General features: G+C 49.6%; 1 protein-coding gene across 6 annotated transcripts in view; it reads right to left on the bottom strand.

Moving 5' to 3' along the window:
- Positions 1 to 15,795, bottom strand: part of IQSEC3 (IQ motif and Sec7 domain ArfGEF 3) — a 111,689-nt gene extending 95,894 nt beyond the window's left edge. For 5 of the 6 annotated variants that reach the window (NM_001170738.2, XM_011520958.3, XM_011520960.2 and 2 more), the window contains exon 1: positions 15,126 to 15,795. In NM_001170738.2, the coding sequence (NP_001164209.1) occupies positions 15,126 to 15,679 (554 nt within the window). In that variant the 5' untranslated portion in view covers positions 15,680 to 15,795. Of the gene's footprint in view, positions 1 to 4,849; positions 5,187 to 15,125 lie in introns of those variants that run through there. The other variant, NM_015232.2, reaches the window with a different exon arrangement.
- Between the last annotated feature and the right edge of the window lie 3,435 nt (positions 15,796 to 19,230).

The raw sequence follows: 19,230 nt of genomic DNA, 5'->3' as shown, positions 1-19,230 counted from the left end.
TTTGCTGCGGTGGACGGTCAGCATGTGTAGTTAGCTGACATGCTGCTGAAACAAACATGCTATGACTTCTCCCATCTTAAAGAACAATCCTTTGTCTTGAACCCGCTTCGTCCCTTCAGCGGTCACCCCATTTCTTTGCTTCTCTTTATAGCAAAACTCATCAGAACTTTCTACAATTCCTCCCATTCTGGCATCTTTTACACATTTTATTAGGGAAATGTCAAACATATATTTTGCCAGTCTTCTACTTCCCAACTTTTTTGCTACAGTGTTATAAAGCAAGCCCCAGAAATATCATTTCACCCACAATGTATCCCTCTAATAGGTAAGAACTTTAAAAAGATATGAGTACCATAATCATACCTAACTAAATTAACAATTTTCTAACATCACCTAATACTTCATCTACGTTCAAATTCCCCGACTGTCTTAAAAATGTCTAGTTCCAATGGCTTTGTCTAAATCAAGCCGGATCAAAGGTCCACATGTTCTATTTGGTTGATTTGTCTCTAAAGTCTCTCCTCCCTTCTCTCTCAAACCCACTAATCAAGCCTCCAAATCCACTCCCAAGACTATGCTTTTCAAGGTCACCAATTACCTGAATGTTGCTAAAGCTAATGGACAGTTCTCAGTCTGCATCCTCCACGTTTCAGCAGCCTTTGAAACGCTCTTTGCCAGAACACTAGGTGCTTCTCCTGGCTGTTCTCCTCCCTCTGGGTGCTCCTTCTCAGCTCCCATGCCCACCTTTTAGTGTTGTGTGCATTGCAAATCTGCCCTAGGCCTCTTTCATCTTCTGTTCTCACTCCTTGGTGGCGTGGCCCAGTCTCAAGGCTTTAAAAGCATCCCAAAGTTATACCTCCAGCCCATTCCAAATGCCTACTGCACATCTCCTCTCAAACATCTAAGAGCTGTCTCAAACGCCATCCGTCAAATGCTCAAACCTCCTCATCCCCCATGGACTTCTCCATCCCATCCTTCTAATAACTTTGGCCCCAAACCTTGAGCTCATCCTCAACTCCTCTTTGTCTCACATCCCACACTGATCCCTCAGGAAGTACTGTTGTCTTGGCTGCAGATCATACTTTCATTGCTACTACCCTGGTCCAAGCTACTAGCATCTCTTACCTGGGCTGTGTAACAACCTTCTACCTGAACTCCCTGCTTCTGCCTTTCTTCCCTCTTCAGTCTATTCTCAAACCAGCATCCAAAGTTCCTTTTAAGCACCCTCTGCTCAAAGTCATCCACTGGTTCCTAGTTTTTCTGAAGGTAAAAGCCAAACACTTCCTAACGGACTCCAATGCCCTCAACAACAAGAAACAGGGGCATTTCTGGCAGGAAAATTCTTCACTGTGTGGTCTGTCCCACACACTGCAGGATGTTTGACATGGCCCTTACCCACTGCATGCCACAGAACAACAACCTTCCTCATCCAAGCCCCATCAGCATTTGTGACAACTAAAATGTGCCCACACATTCCAAATGCTCCCTGGTGGACCTGGAAATCCCAGTTGAGAATCTCTTACAAGATCTGCTACGCGCCTGCACCCTCCTACCCTCCCATGCCCCAACAATCTCTCTGACTTGGCCTCAGGCGCCTCTCCCTGTGCTCTCGGCCCTTGTCTTACTTGAACAACCTGGCAGGGTCCCACCCTTGGCCTCTATGCTAGCTGTTTGTCCTGCCAGGAATGCCCGTCCCCAGACAGCCACAGAACTCCCTCCCTCCCCTCCTCCAGGACTTTGCTCAGGTGCTGTCTCCCCAGGGCACCCAGTTTGAAAGTGCAGATTCCTTTATTCCGGGTCTCTTCTCTGCTTTTTCTCCAGGGCTCTTATCCCATCAGATGCACTATAAGTTTTCATTAGTGATCTTGTTTGTCTGTAAGCTTCATAAAGGAATTTGGGAGTTTTTTTGTTCACTGCTATACCCCAGGGCCTAGAATAGTAACTGGCACACAGCAGATAATAAATATTTGTTAAGTGAAAGGAAGAATACAGATGCCAGGAAAATATATACTTACAGAAAGAAGAAAACAAGCTTTTCTAAGCCACAAGAATAAAGAACTAATTTTGTTCTTAGCAAGGACTGGTGTGTGCTCAGCCTGGGGTGAAAAGTAAGGAGTGAGGCTATAAGAACATCTATTTATTTATCAGATCGGTTCAGGAAGGCTTCCTGAAACTGCTGGGGTTGTAGGACTCACCTTCAGCTGGTTTAGAGCCAGATGCTAACACCCTGATGGCTCCCCCAAACTTGATAACTGCTGACAACAAAGGGAGCCCCGGGGAGCAAAAGTGAACCAAGCTGGAGTTTTCAGACGGAGAAGCACTTGCCGAATCGTATTTCTGCTGCAACTGACCCATGTCTGCAGGAGGCTGCAGCAGCACGTCAGCCAGAGAGGCAAGTTCAAATGCAGCTGCTCAATCATACCTGCTTCCTCCCCTCTCTGGCCCTCAGAAAGCCCACCTTAAATAATTACTTGCCTTCCAAAACTCTCAGCAGACAGCAGAAAGGACCTAGCTTCACAGCCATACAGTGGAATATTTTGCGGCTATTAAAAAAGAACGCGGCAGCTCTTTTTATATTTAATAAGGAAAGATCACTAAGATACATTATTAGGGAACAAAACTCAAGGTGCAGAACAGCATATAGGATACTAGTATCTCTGTAAAAAGAAATAAACATTTTGCTTAAATGTACATATAGCTGGAAAGACGTGAGAAATAATAGTGGTTGCTGGAAGGTGTGGGGGCGGGCAGGAATTCGAGTGGTTAGGAAACAAGGATGGGGGCGATGCTTTTCACTGTAAACTCTTTTCTTTTGAATCTTGTACTAGGTCAATGTATTGTCTATTTGAAAAGAGTAAATCAAGCTACTCTGGAGGCTGAATTGGGAAGATTGCTTGAGGCCAGGAGTTCGAGACCAGCCTGGGCAACATAGGGAGGCCTCCGTCTCTACAAAAACAAAGAAAATTAGTCAGGTGTCGTGATGCATGCCTGTAGTCCTAGCTACCTGGGAGGCTGAGGTGGGAGGATCACTTGAGCGCAGGAGTTCGAGGCTGCAGAGAGCAATGATTGTGCCACTGTACTCCAGCCTGGGTGACAGAGTCACCATCTCTTAAAGAAAGGAAAAGGTGAATTACATTAAAAGCAAATTACATTAGCAATTTTGTGTGTATGTTAAAAGCCACCTGTACAAGTACAGGTGGCCAGAAGCCAGAGTCCTTCAAGTGAAAGAGCCCTGAGGCTTTAGCTGACCTCATGTGTGATAGGTCCCATCTGTGGCTGGGGCTGAGAAAGCCAGTGGGTCCCTAGCCACCATCCAAAGCTAGGCGGGGGGTGAGGGAGGGCCTCCCTGTGCCCAAAGCTGGTCTGGCCACAGCCCCTGCGCTGCAGGGCTCACTCCCAGCTCCCTCTGTGTTCTCGGAGAGCAGTAACCCAGGTGAGGCAGGGCCACCCGCAGAACCATGAGGAGCAGGAAGTGCCAGGATCAGGTATGTTCTCCTGAAAGTAGATGGCGGAGGGGTGTCAGTGGACTGGAAGGCAAGGGAAGGGAAGGATGGCTATCTGCCTTCAAATATTTGAAAGGGTGTGAAGTCAAACAGGGAAGGAGTCCTGTTCAGAGCCCCTTAGAAGATGCCGGGGTCAGGGTGGGGGGTGGTGAGGCCTCTCACCTTCAAAGAGCACCTTCTGCCACTGGAAGGGTCCCAAAGTGACAGCAACCACCCCGCGTCGAGCCCTCACTGCGTGCCAGGCACTCGGCTTGCCTGACGCTTTACTGGCATCACCCCTGAATTTTCCCAGCAATCCCAGGAGGGTGGTACCATTCGTATTCCTTATTTTACGAACGGGAAACGCGAGGCTCTCATTGCTTGAGATCACACAGCTAGTGAACGACTGAGTCGAGATTCAAACCCAGGGCCCTGCTCAGAACTATTATGCCGCACCGTAGGCTGAGGAGACCTACAGCCCTGGGAATTCTAAGACTGTGATGCGATAAAACACAAACATAAACATGAGAAGGCCAAGATAAGGCTGGGAGTTTTAAATTTATTTTTTTTTTTTGCTGAGGTGTCTTGGGTACAAGGAAGACAGGAAAGGTGGATGCTGAGTAGAATTTGTACCTCGGTGTCACCGTCCTCATCCCCGACCCCTCCTAGCCGCCCCCGCCTCAATGTCCCCTTCTTCTCCAAGGCAATCTACTCGCACCATCACACTAGCCCCGGCTGCGGCCCGTGGAGGCCGAGGAGGGGCGCGCACCCAGCACCCAGCACCCGGCCCGAAGGCCGCGGCCCCGATGCTCCCCGGGCTGGCGGCGGGCGGTGCCGCAGCGCCGAAGCCCCTTCCGAGCCCCCTCGGGCCGGGAACGCGGGAGGAGGCGGCGCCCTGCGCCGGGAGGCCCCAGACACCGTGGGCGGGCGGCTGTGCGCGGGGGTTGGGGCGCGGGGAGGCGGGGGCGCCCGGGCCGCGCTTCCCTTCGCGGGTGACTCAGCAGCCGCCTTCCTCAGCGGGGCGGCGGGGGCGCGCGGAGGCTGTGGGCACGCGGCTTCCCCGCGCCGGGGTGCAGGTCCTCGCCGCCGCCCCCGCGAGGAAGTGCGAGGCTGGACGCTGGGAGGGGGCGCGTGGGCCGGGAGATTCCTTCTCGCCTGCCGGCTGCCAGCCGGCCCGCCCACGCCGCCGAGATCCCGACTCCACGTTCCCTCCCCACGTAGGAGTCGGGGCAGCGCACGGAGGCGGAAAGGCTTTCCCCAGGCTGGCCCGGCGAGGGTCGGGGGCGCAGGGACTGAGGGGACACCCCAGGGGGGCCAGCTGCACCCCCGCCCTCCCCTCCTGCTGCTCCCGGGTTTTACGCACTCACGGTCGGAGGGAGCCGGCTGGAGATTTCTGGGGTCTTAGATGTGGAAGTCCGTGCAGAATTTACCTCGTTCTGCCCCAGGGCCCCCGGGTACCTGCCACCTTTTGTTCTTGAAAGGGAGAGATGCCCCTCTGCTGAGCCAGCTGGAGCGTCCTTTCTGTGGCTCTTGCCGTGTAGAAGTCTTTTTTCGTATCTAAGCTCGGTCCCTCCTGCTGCGGTGACCCCCAGACAGCTCTGCTTCGCCAGACTCGGCGACTGGGTAGAGTGGGCAAGAAGGAGGACCAAGAACGTCCCCACTGAGCAGGAGGGGAAATCAAGGCCCAGAGAAGGGGAGGGGCTTCCTTCAAGCTTATAGCTGGGGGTGTGTGAGAGAGGTGCTGACCTCAGTACTCAGGAGTTCCGGCTTCTAGGTCAGAGTCCAGCTGCTTGAAAAGATAATATTCCTCCCTGGTGCTGCCCAGCGCAGTGCCTCTACCTGTCTCTGGAAATCCCTTTGGCCTTCTCTGATGGGTTCTTACCATGCGTTAAGTCGCATCAAGACTGTCGGAGATGCCAGATGATGCCGGTTCGGAAGCATCCAGGGTAAAGACCGGGCTGTGCGCGGGAAACACGGAGGCTAGACCCAAGCAGGAAATTCCCACCCGCTTTGCAGAGTTTTTGTAGCTGCTGTTTTTAAATAATCATTGGTTGATTTGATGCATTGAATGAAAATTGTGGTAGATAGGAATCATTCATCAAGGAAGAAATTGTGGAACTCCCTTGTCTCTCTGCCTGGGATGGGGCGTGCATTCCTGATTGGAGGCAGGTGGTTGGCTGGTTTGACCTGGTGCATCCAAAGCCCTGAGAGGTCATTGGTACCAGGCCCTGGCCACAGCTAGGCCGAGATATCCTGCAGGGAAAATCACACTACAGCTTTGTGTGTGTCTGGCCGCCCCGTACCTGAGCTTCCAGACACTATACCTCCGTAGAGTTCAGTGGCACAGCTCCTGTACCTGTCCCCTTCCACACAGCCTTCTTCCCAGGAGCTCACGCCTCTGGGGCCTGGTCTCCCGCATGCTCCAGACAGAGTGGGTATGGAGGCGTGGTAGATTTGCCCCATTTTACAGAGGGGAAGAACCAGGAGGATCTGGCTAGCCAATGGAGATGAAACACTTCATGCAGAGAAAGGAAAAGGAACTGGGAGTGCTGATGGCGTGACCAGGCCAGGGGTCATTGGGAGATACTGAGATAAAGCTATGCTGATCTTTGCTGTGAAGCCTATGCATCTTTAGTATAGTGTGGGTTGTCCTCCAACTCCCCCAGCCCAAGTCAGTAACACACAGTTGCCCACGCAGTCGTGCCCACTCAGGTCCACAAACGCCTGCGCACCACCTGCTCACCGTCCCGTCACGGTATTGACACTTCCCTGAACACAGCTGATCCTGCCTGGTAAGGGGCCTGGAATCTGGGTGCTGCTGGTTCATGACCCCGGAATCCAGCTCTTTCCTCTCTTTTCCCCCAGAGATACGGCCACAATGCCAGCCTCCTTTCCCTCCTGCCTTCATAGGCCCATTGCCCGTTTCTCACTCCACCTGCTGAGGCCTTGTGTGTGTGTGTGTGTGTGTGTGTGTGTGTGTGTGTGTGTGTGTGATGAAACTCTCACTGCAGAGATTTGTTCTTAATGCAGCTTCCTGGGCTGACAGAGTGGTCAGAGGCTGGGGGCAGAGGGAGTAGAGGGCTCTCCCTGCTCATAGCTAGGATTGGGGTCGGTTCTGTTTATTGCCGGGGGCAGTCTTCTCCTCACCCCTCATCCGTCTCACACCCCAACCAGCCTGAAGAACTGAACCTCTGAGAGCAGCTTTCCGCATGGGCTCAGCTTCAGGACAGTGAGCTGTGCTGTTGGACCCAGGGGTCCTCCCTTCTGCCCAACTCTTCCTCAGCCCTGATACCACAACCCACCTCCACTCAACAATCCATGAGCCTGCCTGGGCCCTACAGACGGAGAGTTTATGTATTCAACCAGTATTTATCATGCACCTTCTAGGTGTTGAGTTTGACTCTCATCTCCCATCCCCTTCAGGCTCGTGCGACACCAACCTCTGCTGCCTGCCAGCTCTTCCTGCCCACATCTTCCTGCCCCATAGCAAACCCCAACAGAGTCATGTGACATTTCACCATCCAAAAAATTATTTTAAGATCCTAGAAAGGAGCAAACAAGCTTATCACACATCATGATGCTCTTTAACTTCTTGCTTTATGTCTTCCACACATGAAGTTCGTTGGAAAAGTATCCCTTCTACAGCCCAAAGACTTACTATTCCATGACCAGTCAGTGGAAGTGCCCTGTGTCCCTCCCCTTTCCTTACCAGAGCCAAACAAGGCAATTCCAATTCTCTGCAAAATTTAGTTGAGCTAAAAATACATTTAGACTGATCTGCCTCCCTCATGAGCCCTTCAGCTCCTTAGCAGCCTCCTTCCCTGGCCTTTAGTTAACCACTGCTACCCCAGTATCCTCCCTTCTTACCAAACCCTTCTCTGGGAGATTGCTCAAATAAACTCTTTCACACTAAAGTATAAAAGACTAATAAGAATAAATGTGTTGATTTGTCCCCCTTCCTAGGAGAATTTGCATTTAAACAAGGAGGATAACCTTGAAGTACCTAAAGTCGTCTCTGACTGTGGAATTATTAACATAGTTGAGATATCCTGGAAGGCACGGGGACCTCCCTGGGGTTATGGGACTAGCTGTAAGTTTGGCCTTGCACACCTGTGAAGCAGCCCTGATGGGCTCTTTTGGTCCATCGTCACATAATGTTGAGAGCAGTGGATGAAGAGTTAAGAGAATCTGAGCTCTAAACCTAGTTCTGACACTAGCTAGTTTGGAAGCAACAGTCACTTCCTCCTCAGGCCTTAGTTTTCTCATTTGCCAAATGAGAATCTTGAACAGGTTACCTTAAAGAATCCTTCTAGCTCTGATATCTGGTTAACTCCCCAATGGGGCTAGGAGACCCTGGCCCAGCTCCTAAAAGCCTCTAGCCCCTGAAGCTGTGGCTTAGAGGGAATGGTCTGATGCCAGCACAGAGCACGGGGCCCTTCTCTGGGCAGGGACTTGGACAGGCTGCCCGCATGACCATAGCAGCCCACCTGCCAGGGAGGAAAGGTGCCGCTCAGCACGCACACCAGTCTTGAAGAGTTACATAACCCTCCCAGATCCCTTATTCCAACCAAAGAGCAACAGCAAAACAGTCTGCCCTCCACCCCCACCCGGGCACACACACACATCAGCAGTCTTTGCCTATGGTGGCCTCACAGTCACAAACACCCTGGGAGAGAATTTTAGAAGGCCACCATCTTTTCTTTTTCATTTGTTTTCATTTTCCTGGAAGATATCTCATGTAAGAAAAGTCTTTAAGAGAAGAAAACCCACAACCACACATCAGGCCTCTTAGTCCCTCCCTGCTGTTCTTTTCAGCTTTCTGACCTCAGAGTTCTGAAAAGTACAGGTCTACCTTCCATCCCTAGGAAGGAGGAACTTGGAGAAATTGATTCAGCCTCATTCTGAAGAAGTGGGAAGCACTTCCTGGGTTCAGATGCCATTTCCCTCACTCTCCACTTTTGTCCTTGACAAGTCAGTGTACCTTCTCCTAGATGAGACTGTAATTTTCCTAATTAGGAAATAGGGGTGATTGTTCTCACCATGGGGCATCGGGTGATAACTCAGATCTCTTTGATATCCTTAAGAGAAGTGCAAATAATCTTAAAATTCAACAGAAGAGGTTTTAGTTGGGCTTAAAGAAGCCTTTGCCAACTAGAAATTTGTGAGACAGCATTACAGATCACAGAGGGATGGTGGATTTGTGCTGCTGGTTGCTTTTCAGGGTATGCTCAACATTCCTGTGTCTGGAATGGCTAAATGAGAATAGAGCACATGTAGAAAGGTGGCCTGGCAGTGTAGAAGAAACCCTGAGCCTGCATTCTAGTCTGTCACTGTCATCTGACAACAGGTGAACCTTTTATCTTTCTTGGGCCCTGGTTTCTTTTTCTTTTTCTTTTTCTTTTTTTTTGGGGTCATGGAGTCTCGCTCTGTGGCCCAGACTGGAGTGCAGTGGCGCAATCTCAGCTCACTGCAACCTCAGCCTCCTAGATTCAAGTGATTCTCCTGCCTCAGCCTCCCGAGTAGCTGGGACTACTATGGACCACCATCCCTGGCTAATTTTGTATTTTTAGTAGAGACAGGGTTTCACCATGTTGGCCAGGCTGGTCTCAAACTCCTGACCTCAGCTGATCTGCCATCTTGGTTTCTTTATCTGTAGAAATACTGCAATGTATTGAGCACTTACTATGTACCCCAAACAGTACTAAATAAATGATATGTAATTTTTACAACTTTACGACAAGTCTTTAAGGTAGATATTTTCCCCATTTTATAAGTGGAAAAACAGAGGCTAAAAGAAAGTAAACAGTGAAGGCGACGTCTCACAGCTGGGGAGGTACCAAGATTTCTCCCCAGGCGTGCTTGCCCAAAGCCCATGTTCTCAACCATCTGGATCTTGAACACTGTGTGATCCAGTGGTTACCTGAAATTCCTTTCAGCCTGAAAGATTTAGCTTTGCCCTTGCCTTACTCCTGATTCCCTTTTTTATTTATTTATTTATTTATTTATTTATTTATTTATTTATTTATTTATATTTTAGGCAGAGTGTCGCTCTGTCACCCAGGCTGGAGTACAGTGGCACGATCTCAGCTCACTGCAAGCTCTGCCTCCTGGGTTCACGCCATTCTCCTGCCTCAGCCTCCCGAGTACCTGGGACTACAGGCGCCCGCCACCATGAGCAGCTAATTTTTTTGCATTTTTTAGTTGAGACGGGTTTTTACCATGTTAGCTAGGATGGTCTCGATCTCCTGACCTTGTGATCTGCCCGCCTCAGCCTCCCAAAGTGCTGGGATGACAGGCGTGAGCCACCACGCCTGGCCCTGATTCCCTTTCTTTTTGTTAATGCCCTCATTGACTGAAATAAAGATGACCACCCCTTTCTTCCATGGAAATAAGCAGCCCTTTGGAGCCTCTGTGGGAACCTGCACTTTGTGCTTTTCCAGAAGCAGAGGAGCAAGTTGCTACAGTGGTCCCAGCCTTGGAAACCCTGCCAGATGGCCTCACCTCTGAGAGTCTGCTGGGTGCAGTGAGAGTGTCCCCAGGGCCTCTTACTAAGAACTCCTTACTAAGCTGCCATTGCCCTGTGCCCAGGGCCACTGAGATATGCTTAGGCTCCAGTGAAAAAAAATGTTCAGGCTTCCCAACAAGGCAGCTTGTCCAAAAATCTTTACATGGGGTGTAAATTCAGCAGTTGAGTCTCTTTCCAGATTGTGAGCCCTGATGTTTGTCCCAGCCCTTCCCTCTTTTTTAATGTTACCCTCCCTTCCATTCCTTCTCCACCCAGCCCCGACCCCAGCTGCCTTTTCTCGTAAGTGACCTTTGAAACTCGGGCTGCGCAGAGATTTGCTGAATCAGCAGGACCAACTGTTGTTTCCTTTGCTTGGTTTTGGGCCAGCAGGAAAATGTGCCAGGATGCCTTTGTGAGGCCCTATGGCATTCACTGCATTGGTCTGGGGAGAGATTGGGAGTGAGGAAAGAGGGAGCTGGAGGCTGGTAAGGAGGAGTGAGACAATCAGGGTTTCCCAGAGACCATGGGATGACTTGGTTCTCTTAAATGCATTATTTTTGGATGAAAAGAAAGGAAGAGCAGTGGCCTAGGCCTTCAGGAAGGCAAAGGGCAGCAAATCTTTGCAAGTGGTCACACTATGCCAGCTTCTAGCTATGAATAAAAAGACGCACACTCCCTTCTCCCAGTGAGCCTTCATCCTGGCCCCATTTCTTAGACTAGAAACTCTCTCCCTGCTGGGGATAGGGGAAGAACAAGAGGATAGGCAGATTGATGAGCATGGGCCATACGATGCCACCTCAGCAACCAGGCCTTCTGGGCACAAGGTAGACAAAGTCCCTGTGTGTTGAGACTGTCCTCACCTAGTGATAGGGTTTGGCCTCATGGGTAGGGACTTAGGATGAGCAGAGGGCTGTATCATCAGAGGCTGGAATGAAATGGACATGCAAAACAGGTATCTCCATAGATTGAATTTTCTGCTTTCTGTTCCCTTTCCAGCTATCCTTGCCTCTTACAATTCTGACATAAACCTTTGACTTCAGTGAAGAAAACCTGCTCTTTGGCTGTTAACATAATTTGTATACTCACCCTTTTTACCTTGTGCTGTTCTGATAGAGGATTGCTTTAGGCAGCTGCAATATACTTACACTTGTTTAGGCATTTCTAGATATGTGTCTCTTTTATTTTGAGCAAGGACCATTTGCTTCTTTCCAATCTTTCCACAGCACTGAGTGCAGGGTTTTGAATAGACTGGACACTTGATACATATAGTTGACTGACAGACCTTCACACTTTCTTTCTTAATAGTTTCCAGGATGGGCCAGTCATGAGCTATCACCTTCAAGCATGCAACTCTGACTCAATAGGAGCAGAGATCCCAGTTCCCATCAGCATCTTAGACAAATCAGGATAAAAAGCACATCCAGAACTCTTCTAGCTATCCCCAGCCTCCAGCCAGAATGAGAAGAGGGAGCTCAAAAGATACTCAAGATTGATTTTGTGTTTAAAGGATAAGGGTAGAGAAGAAAGAGATTTCCCTGTGTAGCTTATGTGGAAGAAGGATAGAAGGAAGAGAAGATGGGAGAGATAAAGTGTTTGGGGGAGAGGTAGAAGGGGAGAAGAGAATGAAGGAAAAAGGGTAGTGAGGCAGAGGAGGGATGTGAAAGGAAGAAGCAATGTAACAGAGAGAAGACAGGAGCTGTGGAGCCCTTCAGACTTCATAGTCATATTGAGGTTGGGATTTGGAGTAGGAGATGAATTTGAATGGGGATGCAAGAATTTATCCTCCAGCAATCATCTGCCTGTGGCCTTGGAGACATGGACAAGCCCTGTCATCCATGGACACTAAACGCATGACTGGTGGTTGGGCAAATGTGCTTAGAAGCCACTGAAGCCAGCCACTTCAGATAAGTTCATGTGCTTCCATGGCAAGAGGATTTGTCAGGTCAAGTTGAGGTTCTGGCACCAGCCAGGAAAGGGATAGTAATAAATTCTGTAGATGCCGTGAGCCTTGATTGAAAAAATAAGGAGGAGGAAGCTATGTTTGCTGCTTTCATTAAGAGGCAAAAGCAGTGGGGGTCAGAGCTTAGCAAGAATCAAGAAGCATGCAGAGAAATAATTTTAACCCTTCAAATGTTTTTCTTCCATAATATCTCTGCATTCACTCACCCACATATTGCTGCTTTCTTGGACTGACCTCCAAGACCACCACCTTTGTGTCTCCCTCAGCTGAAGGAGGGAGAGAGGCCAGATTATGTATTAATGCAGATAAGATGGCAATTAAATGATTCATTATTTTCCAGTCCCAGTTATCTAGGGCTTCTGCCTCTCCTGGAATTGGGTAGGAAGAGGAGTTCTGGGGATAAAAGTCAAACTGTGTGAGGACATAATGCATCTACCAGAGTGCCTGGCCTCTGGAAACCCTCACCCACTCTTCAGCCACCTCAGTGGGGTCGCGTTCTTGCTGAAAGGAGGCCAGAGGAAGAATGAGGGAGGATTCACAGGAAACCCATGATTGGAAGACCCACTGTGCCATCTCTTCCTCCCGCTTCAGCACTCCCAGTAGAGAACCAGTTCTGCGGGGAGCTCCCCAGGAGCAATACCAGGGAGGGGGCTGCTGGCTCTGCTCTCCTCCTCCTCACCTCTCCCTCTCCATGGAGATCTCTGTCTGCCTGCTGGCTCCATCTTGTCCTGCATCATAGACAACTATGGGCAGAGGAGAACAAACATACAAAACGGGCCACGGGCAGAGAGCAGGGTAGGACGAAACATGTCATTAGCAATGGTGATTCCGTCCTGAGCTCTGTGGGGAAATTGGTGTTGAAGTTGGGCCACTGTGGGGAAAGAAATGAGTGGTCCAGAAGATATTCAACCAGCCAAGATTACCATGTTTTCACATCCAAGGAAGGAGAGCTGCAGGGATGAGGGGAGGCAGGCACATCTATGGTCTCTATGTTTCTGAGTGTGCAGGATTGGGGAGCAGGAGAAAAAGCTGGAGAATCTGGAGAAAGTAAGGCATTACTGTTAAGTGCCTGGGGCAACTTTCTAAGTGAAAGATTCCAATAACTTCCACTCTGCTCCACCATGCTAATTATTTTTTATTTTTGTTCTGCTCCTTTGGGAAGCAAAAGCAGGACAGGTGAGAAGGAAAGGTGAGGATATTATAACTCCTCTCCAGAATTGACATGTGGAGCTGGACAGGAGCCCAGATGATTCCTAAATCCCAGGATTCCGAGCAGGACCAACTGAGTGAAAGGGTTTGGGTTCCGTAGGCCACTCTGAAGGCTATGGCTATGTCTTTGTCTAAGAAAAATAATCTTTCCTCAACTCTTCTTGGCCACACAGTGCCCTGAAGAGATGCAAAGAAAGTGGAGTTGCAGTGGGAGAGACAGGAGACACCAAAAGTCATGAGGAGAGAAATCATAATGACCAGGTAGCTGTGGCTGCCCTCAGGGAAGGGGACTGGAAAAATTCATCCCCTCATGTGGGGGAAAAGACCACTTAGTATCTTGGAACAATGTTGCCTTTTGCTGAGCCTTGGGCATTGAGGGAAAACTGACTTTCTGCTTTTTATGCCAGATAAGGAAAAAATAAAAATAAAAATGTGAAACTGAGGGAAGTACAAAGGGGTTTTGAGGGAGTTGGGGTAGAAAACTGTATCTTCTTGGGACTTGAATCAAATGTTTTAAGTCTGCCAAGCCAGATCATGTTAGACCTTCACCTCTTAGATCCTGTGGTTTTGATCAACGTGCTCTGTGAGCTACCCTGCCCTAACCCAACTTCTCTAACTCTACCACAGATGGTAAAAGAAAATGAGTTTTGAAGGAATACAGCAAATATTCACAAGTATCTCCCAGACTTAATGCACCTGGATGAAGATGAGATTCTCAGCTCTACTTCCCCCTCCCCATTCCCTTATGCATCACCATTGTCAAGGTCAGGTGCTGACCAGGGACAATTTCCCTTGAACTGTTCTTTGTTTAGTTCTCCATCACTTGCCTAATCAGAGAAAAGAAGCAGACATGGCCACAGCCTTTCCAGTACAGAGGAGAGAACATCCCAGACACTTTCATATCTTCTTCCCATATTCCTAGTTCATGGACCTCCTGAGTGAAGAAAGAGCTTGAAGTTCTAGGAACTGAGAGGTTAACATTTCTCTCAGGACCCAAGGCAAGATTTCAGTGATCACCAGATAACCGGGAAAAAAGGGTTTGCAGTTGCTGGCCTTAACAGGGAGATTTAAACAGGCATGGCATCTGAATACCAACTCCATCTGCCAACTGTCCCCCATGTCATTGCTCCCTTTCAACAACGGCCAAACACCCTGTATGAAAAACCCTCCTTGAGTTGGAGGAAAAAGCTGTAACCAGACTGAGTCCTCAAGCCATGCCTGAGTCCTCCATTGGTTTGATGGGATGTTCCCTTGCACCTCTTCGGCTCTGCGGGAATTCAGAGGAAGGGTGTCCAATCAGGTCAGAGAAGAGAAAGCTTCCCTAAATGAGCCACTCCTAGCTGTGGCTCCCACTTCACCAGCTAAAGAGCCACATTTTCTCTTCCTCTGCCTCCAGCTCCCTTGGTTTCCCACATCACTCCTGCTTTTCAGGTTTGTCCCCGGCCTCCTGGATTCCCCTCTACCCCAGTCCTACTCTTCCTGGGCCCCAGCCTTTTTAAAGCTCTTCACATGCCTCTTTCCAAGCCTTCAGCTTTTCTCACATCTCAGTCTCCATGCAAATACTTTTACTACCCAAACTTCCTTCCAAATTTTTTCTCACTTAAAAAGATTCCTTCAATGGTTCTCTTTTCTACAGTTTAATCTTCACTCGAACTTCAACCCAGCCTAACCCCGTTTAAATGCTGTCAGTTCCCAGTATCACCAATCGCTTAACACCCACCTCCTTCCTCCTTTGCTCCTACTAATGGTCTGGTTACTCCTTTTTGCTCCAGCATTCCCCAAAACCTTCTCAAGCAGGGATATCGTTCCCTCATTTACCCAAAATCTCCTTTGCACACTTCTGGCGCCTTCAGGCCACATCACTCCGGTCCTTTAGACTCCTACGCACCCAACGTCCCCGTCTCTCCCTCACACCCACTTGCTTCCCTTGCTCCCACCACAACAGTGCCCATCTCCTCTCCCCGCTCACTCAGGTCTCCTGCTCAGGACGCCCTTGCCGAGGGCGGAGGGGGATTTGTGCTGAAGGAGGGCTCCGGCAGCAGCGCAGCAACTCGGGGGACGCTCCTTCTCCTTGTCAGTCACGGCCCCTTGTGTCCCCAGATGCTTGTGGGGCGACTGGGGTGTGTGAGCCCTGCTGCCAGGGCCCCGCTGGGGCTGCTCCAGGAGCTGTCCGTGGTGCTGACGCGGCGGCCGATCGGGCGCGGGATGCGGCGCGGCTGCTGAGCGCTGTCCCTGGTCCTGGAGAGGTTCCTGGGCCCTGGCGGCGGCGGCAGGAGCGGTGGCCGGAGCGGCCGGCAGCGGGGCCGATGACGGGGGGACGAGCCCGGGCGGAGGCTGGGCTTGCAGCAGCTGCTGGTGCTCCCACAGGCTGCGGTTCTCAGCGCTCAGCTCGTCCAGCCGCCGCTCCAGCTCGTCGATACGCTCTCGCTGGGTGTGGATGAGGCTCTGCTGGTTCTGCACGATGGCCGTGAGCTCCTTGAGGTAGAGCACGGCGCGCACCGGATTCTCCAGCAGGCTCTCCATGCCGCCCGCCGCCGCCTGCGCCCTGCCTGCGCCTGGGCTGGCGGCGGGGAGCGCGAGGGCGCGGGAGCCCAGCAGCCCAGCGGTCGGCTCGCCTCCCTCTCCCACCGGCCCAGCCTCCCTCCCCCCGCCGGCGCCGCGTCACTGCCACCCCGACCTTCACACACGCATCGCGGGGCGGGGCGGCTGCGCAAGGCCCCACCCCCACCCCACCCCCTACCTCCAGACCTCCCCAACTCCTCGCCTCCCCACCTCGCTGCCTCTTGGCGTCAGCGAAGGCTCTGCTGCCTGCAGGGCAGAGAGGAGAGGGAGGAGGCCAGCGAGAGGGAGCCTCTGTCGGGGCGTGGGAGGAAAGCAAGATAACGCAGGCGACCCGAGAAGGACGGTGAATCTGACTGGCCAGACTGGGAAGTAGGCGAAGGGGAAGCAGCGATACTGGGAAGGTGCGGTGGGACCTGTAGGAGAAGAGAAACAGAAAAGAAAGGAAGAGAAGGGGAGAGGCCAGCAGAGAGGAAGCAGAAAAAGGGAAGGTGGGGCCAAGAAAGAGAAATGTGCTGGAGGACAGGAAGGCGTGGGGCCCTGAAGGGACGCGAATTCTTTTTTCCCAGGTCCAGGCCTTCCAGAGGCTGGGGTTCATCTAGAGACCTGCTGAGGAGGGGCCACACTCGCCTCTTTTGCTCGCAGCAATCTATTCTGCCAGGGGATTCCCTGGAACACAAGAATCCTGGGGCTCTAAGGGACCCTAAAGAGCGTCTGGTCCTGCTCCTTCCTTCATCCGTGACGAAACTTGGGATGGGAAGGCTGTTCATGCTGGGTTTCCTCTGGGAGTGAGACCTCAAGACAACTGTGGCAGTTCCTGATAGAAACACTAAATAAACGAGGTCCTCTGTGGCAAGGGCTAACGCTTCCAGAAGCTTCTGAATAGATCATTCTATTTGACAAACAGTTATAAAATGCACACTATTACCAAACACTGTGCTAGATGGTGGTAAGAGAAGCATGACTAGAATGGAATGTTAGGCTTTTTGAAGCTTATAAATAAGTGGGTGAAATTGGTCATGATTAACTTTGACGTATGATAGTGGTGGTGAGTAATCAGGCAGAGGTTTGCCCAGAGTGCTATAGGAGCCAGCAGCTTGGAGATCCAGGGAGGCTTCTTACAGGAAGTGACCCTTGGTGTGGGAAGGGTTTTCCATAAAGGGAAGACAGCATGAGCAAAAGCTCAGAGACATTAATCAGCACCGATTGAATCATTCATTCATGTCTACAATAATCACCACTCACTAGGTGCAAAGTAATGTACAGAATCTATGCAAGCCACATCTAGCATAGATAATAAGTTATCATTTCTATAATCAAGTTGATTCCAATCTCATAGAGTAGATATGCCATGCACATGAATAAGTAAAACACAACTCAAGATTTCTGTAAGAGCTCTTCAAGCCAAGTGCCATAGAGTTCAGGGGAGGGAGAGGATTCATTTGACTGTGTTGATCTGATAAGTTCTGACAGAGGTGTTACTCAAGTTGGGCCACGAAGAATGGGAAATATTTCAACAGGTAGACAGAACAGGGGGCCAGATATGAGAAAGATACATCAGGCAGCAGGGAAAAAACTAATGAATGGAAATAGAGCACTTGGTTTAAATTAATTTGGCAGGGAAATATCCCTTTCCTTTTCTTTTCCTTTACTTTTTTTTTTTTTTAAAGTCTTGTCTGTCACCGAGGCTGGAGTGCAGTGGCAGGATCATAGCTTACTCCATCCTTGACCTCCTGGGATCAAGGAATCCTCTAGCCTCAGCTTCCTGAGTAGGTGGGACTACAGATGCATACCACCATGCCCCGTGAAGGAAATGAGTTGTTCTTTCCTCTTTTATAGGAATGGGATGGGAAGGAGGAAGGGCTATGAGTACGCTTCGCATGTTTGTTATTGTGTTGTTCCGTTCTTCACACACATGTCCATCAGGCTCCCTGTCAACCTTCCATTCCCCCAGGGTAGGCATATTTATGGGTACCATGTGCCCAGTGAGCTGGCCCACCCCCCACCACCACGTGGTGCCAGACTTGAATGACCTTATGAGAAGGAACTTGTGCTCTGCACATATATTGGTTTATCTGCATTCCTGATGTGTTTTTATTTTGCTTTTCTCCCATTTATCTTCCTAGCAAACTTTCTTTGGTAAAGAATGAATAAAGGAAGCTTATCCACAGCTGAGCTCACGGTTAGGGGAAACAGCACACAGGAGGATGCTTTGGTAGTGACCAGCATTCCAGCTAAAGAATGGAGGTTGGGGGATGAAACAAGGGCACACAAAAACTCAAACTCTTTTTTCTGAATTTTCTTTGTTTGCCTAGTTGATTTGCTGTCCAAGAATTGGGTGCTTGGACAGCAAATTAGAGACGAATACGATAAGTGAAACAGCCTGCAGCATAATTATCCATGCGGATTGTTGAAAATGCAGATTTCTGAGCCCTATATTGTAGCAGGACAAGCCGCAGACAAAATTCCTCAGACACCGAGTTAAAGAAGGAAGGGGTTTATTTGGCTGGGGGCATCGGCAAGACTCCTGTCTCAAGAGCTGAGCTCCCCGAGTGAGCAATTTCTGTCCTTTTTAAGGGTTCACAACTCTAAGGGGGTGCGCGTGAGAGGGTCGTGGTCGATTAAGCAAGCAGGGGGTACGTGACTGGGGGCTGCATGCACCGGTAATTAGATCGGAACACAACAGGATAGGGATTTTTCACAGTGCTTTTCTATACAATGTCTGTAATCTATAGATAACATAACCGATTAGGTCAGGGGTCGATCTTTAACTACCAGGCCCAGGGTGTGGCGCCGGGCTGTCTGCTTGTGGATTTCATTTCTGCCTTTTAGTTTTTAGTTTTTCTTTCTTTGGAGGCAGAAAATGGGCATAAGGCAATATGAGGGGTGGTCTCCTCCCATAATACCAGTCCTGCTGTATTGGAATCACTAGGAATGGGGACCAAGAATTTTTATTTTAAAAACTTTTTTCATTAAAAAAATCAACTTTGTTGACTTATAATTTATATCCAATGATATGCTCCCATTTTATGTGCACAGTTCAATGAATTTTGACAAATGTTCATGCCCTATTTTAGTCAGTTCCTCTCATCCTCAGCTCCAGTTAACCACTGACTTGCTGTCTGCCAGTATATGTTAGTTTTGTCTGTTGTGGAATTTCACATAAAAATCATACAGTATACACTACTTCGTGTCTTTCTTTTTAAATTTTTTATTATTTTAAAAATTACTATGATGATTTTTGTTTTAATAGTTTCTGGGGAACATGTGGTGTTTGGTTACATAGATAAGTTCTTTTGTGGTGATTTCTGAGATTTTGGAGCACCCATCACCTGAGCAGTGTACACCGTACCTAATGTGTAGTCTTTTATCTCTTACCCCACTCCCACCCTTCTCCCAAGTCCCCAGAGTCCATTGCATCATCCTTAAGCCTTTGAGTCCTCATAGCTTAGTTCCCACTTACACATGAGAACATATGATATTTGGTTTTCCATTCCTGAGTTACTTCACTTGGA

Source organism: Homo sapiens, chromosome 12 (assembly GCF_000001405.40).
Source record: "Homo sapiens chromosome 12, GRCh38.p14 Primary Assembly".
NCBI classification, from domain to species: domain Eukaryota; kingdom Metazoa; phylum Chordata; class Mammalia; order Primates; family Hominidae; genus Homo; species Homo sapiens.
Note: the sequence above shows the minus strand (reverse complement) of the source record. Positions and strands in the feature narration are given on the sequence as shown.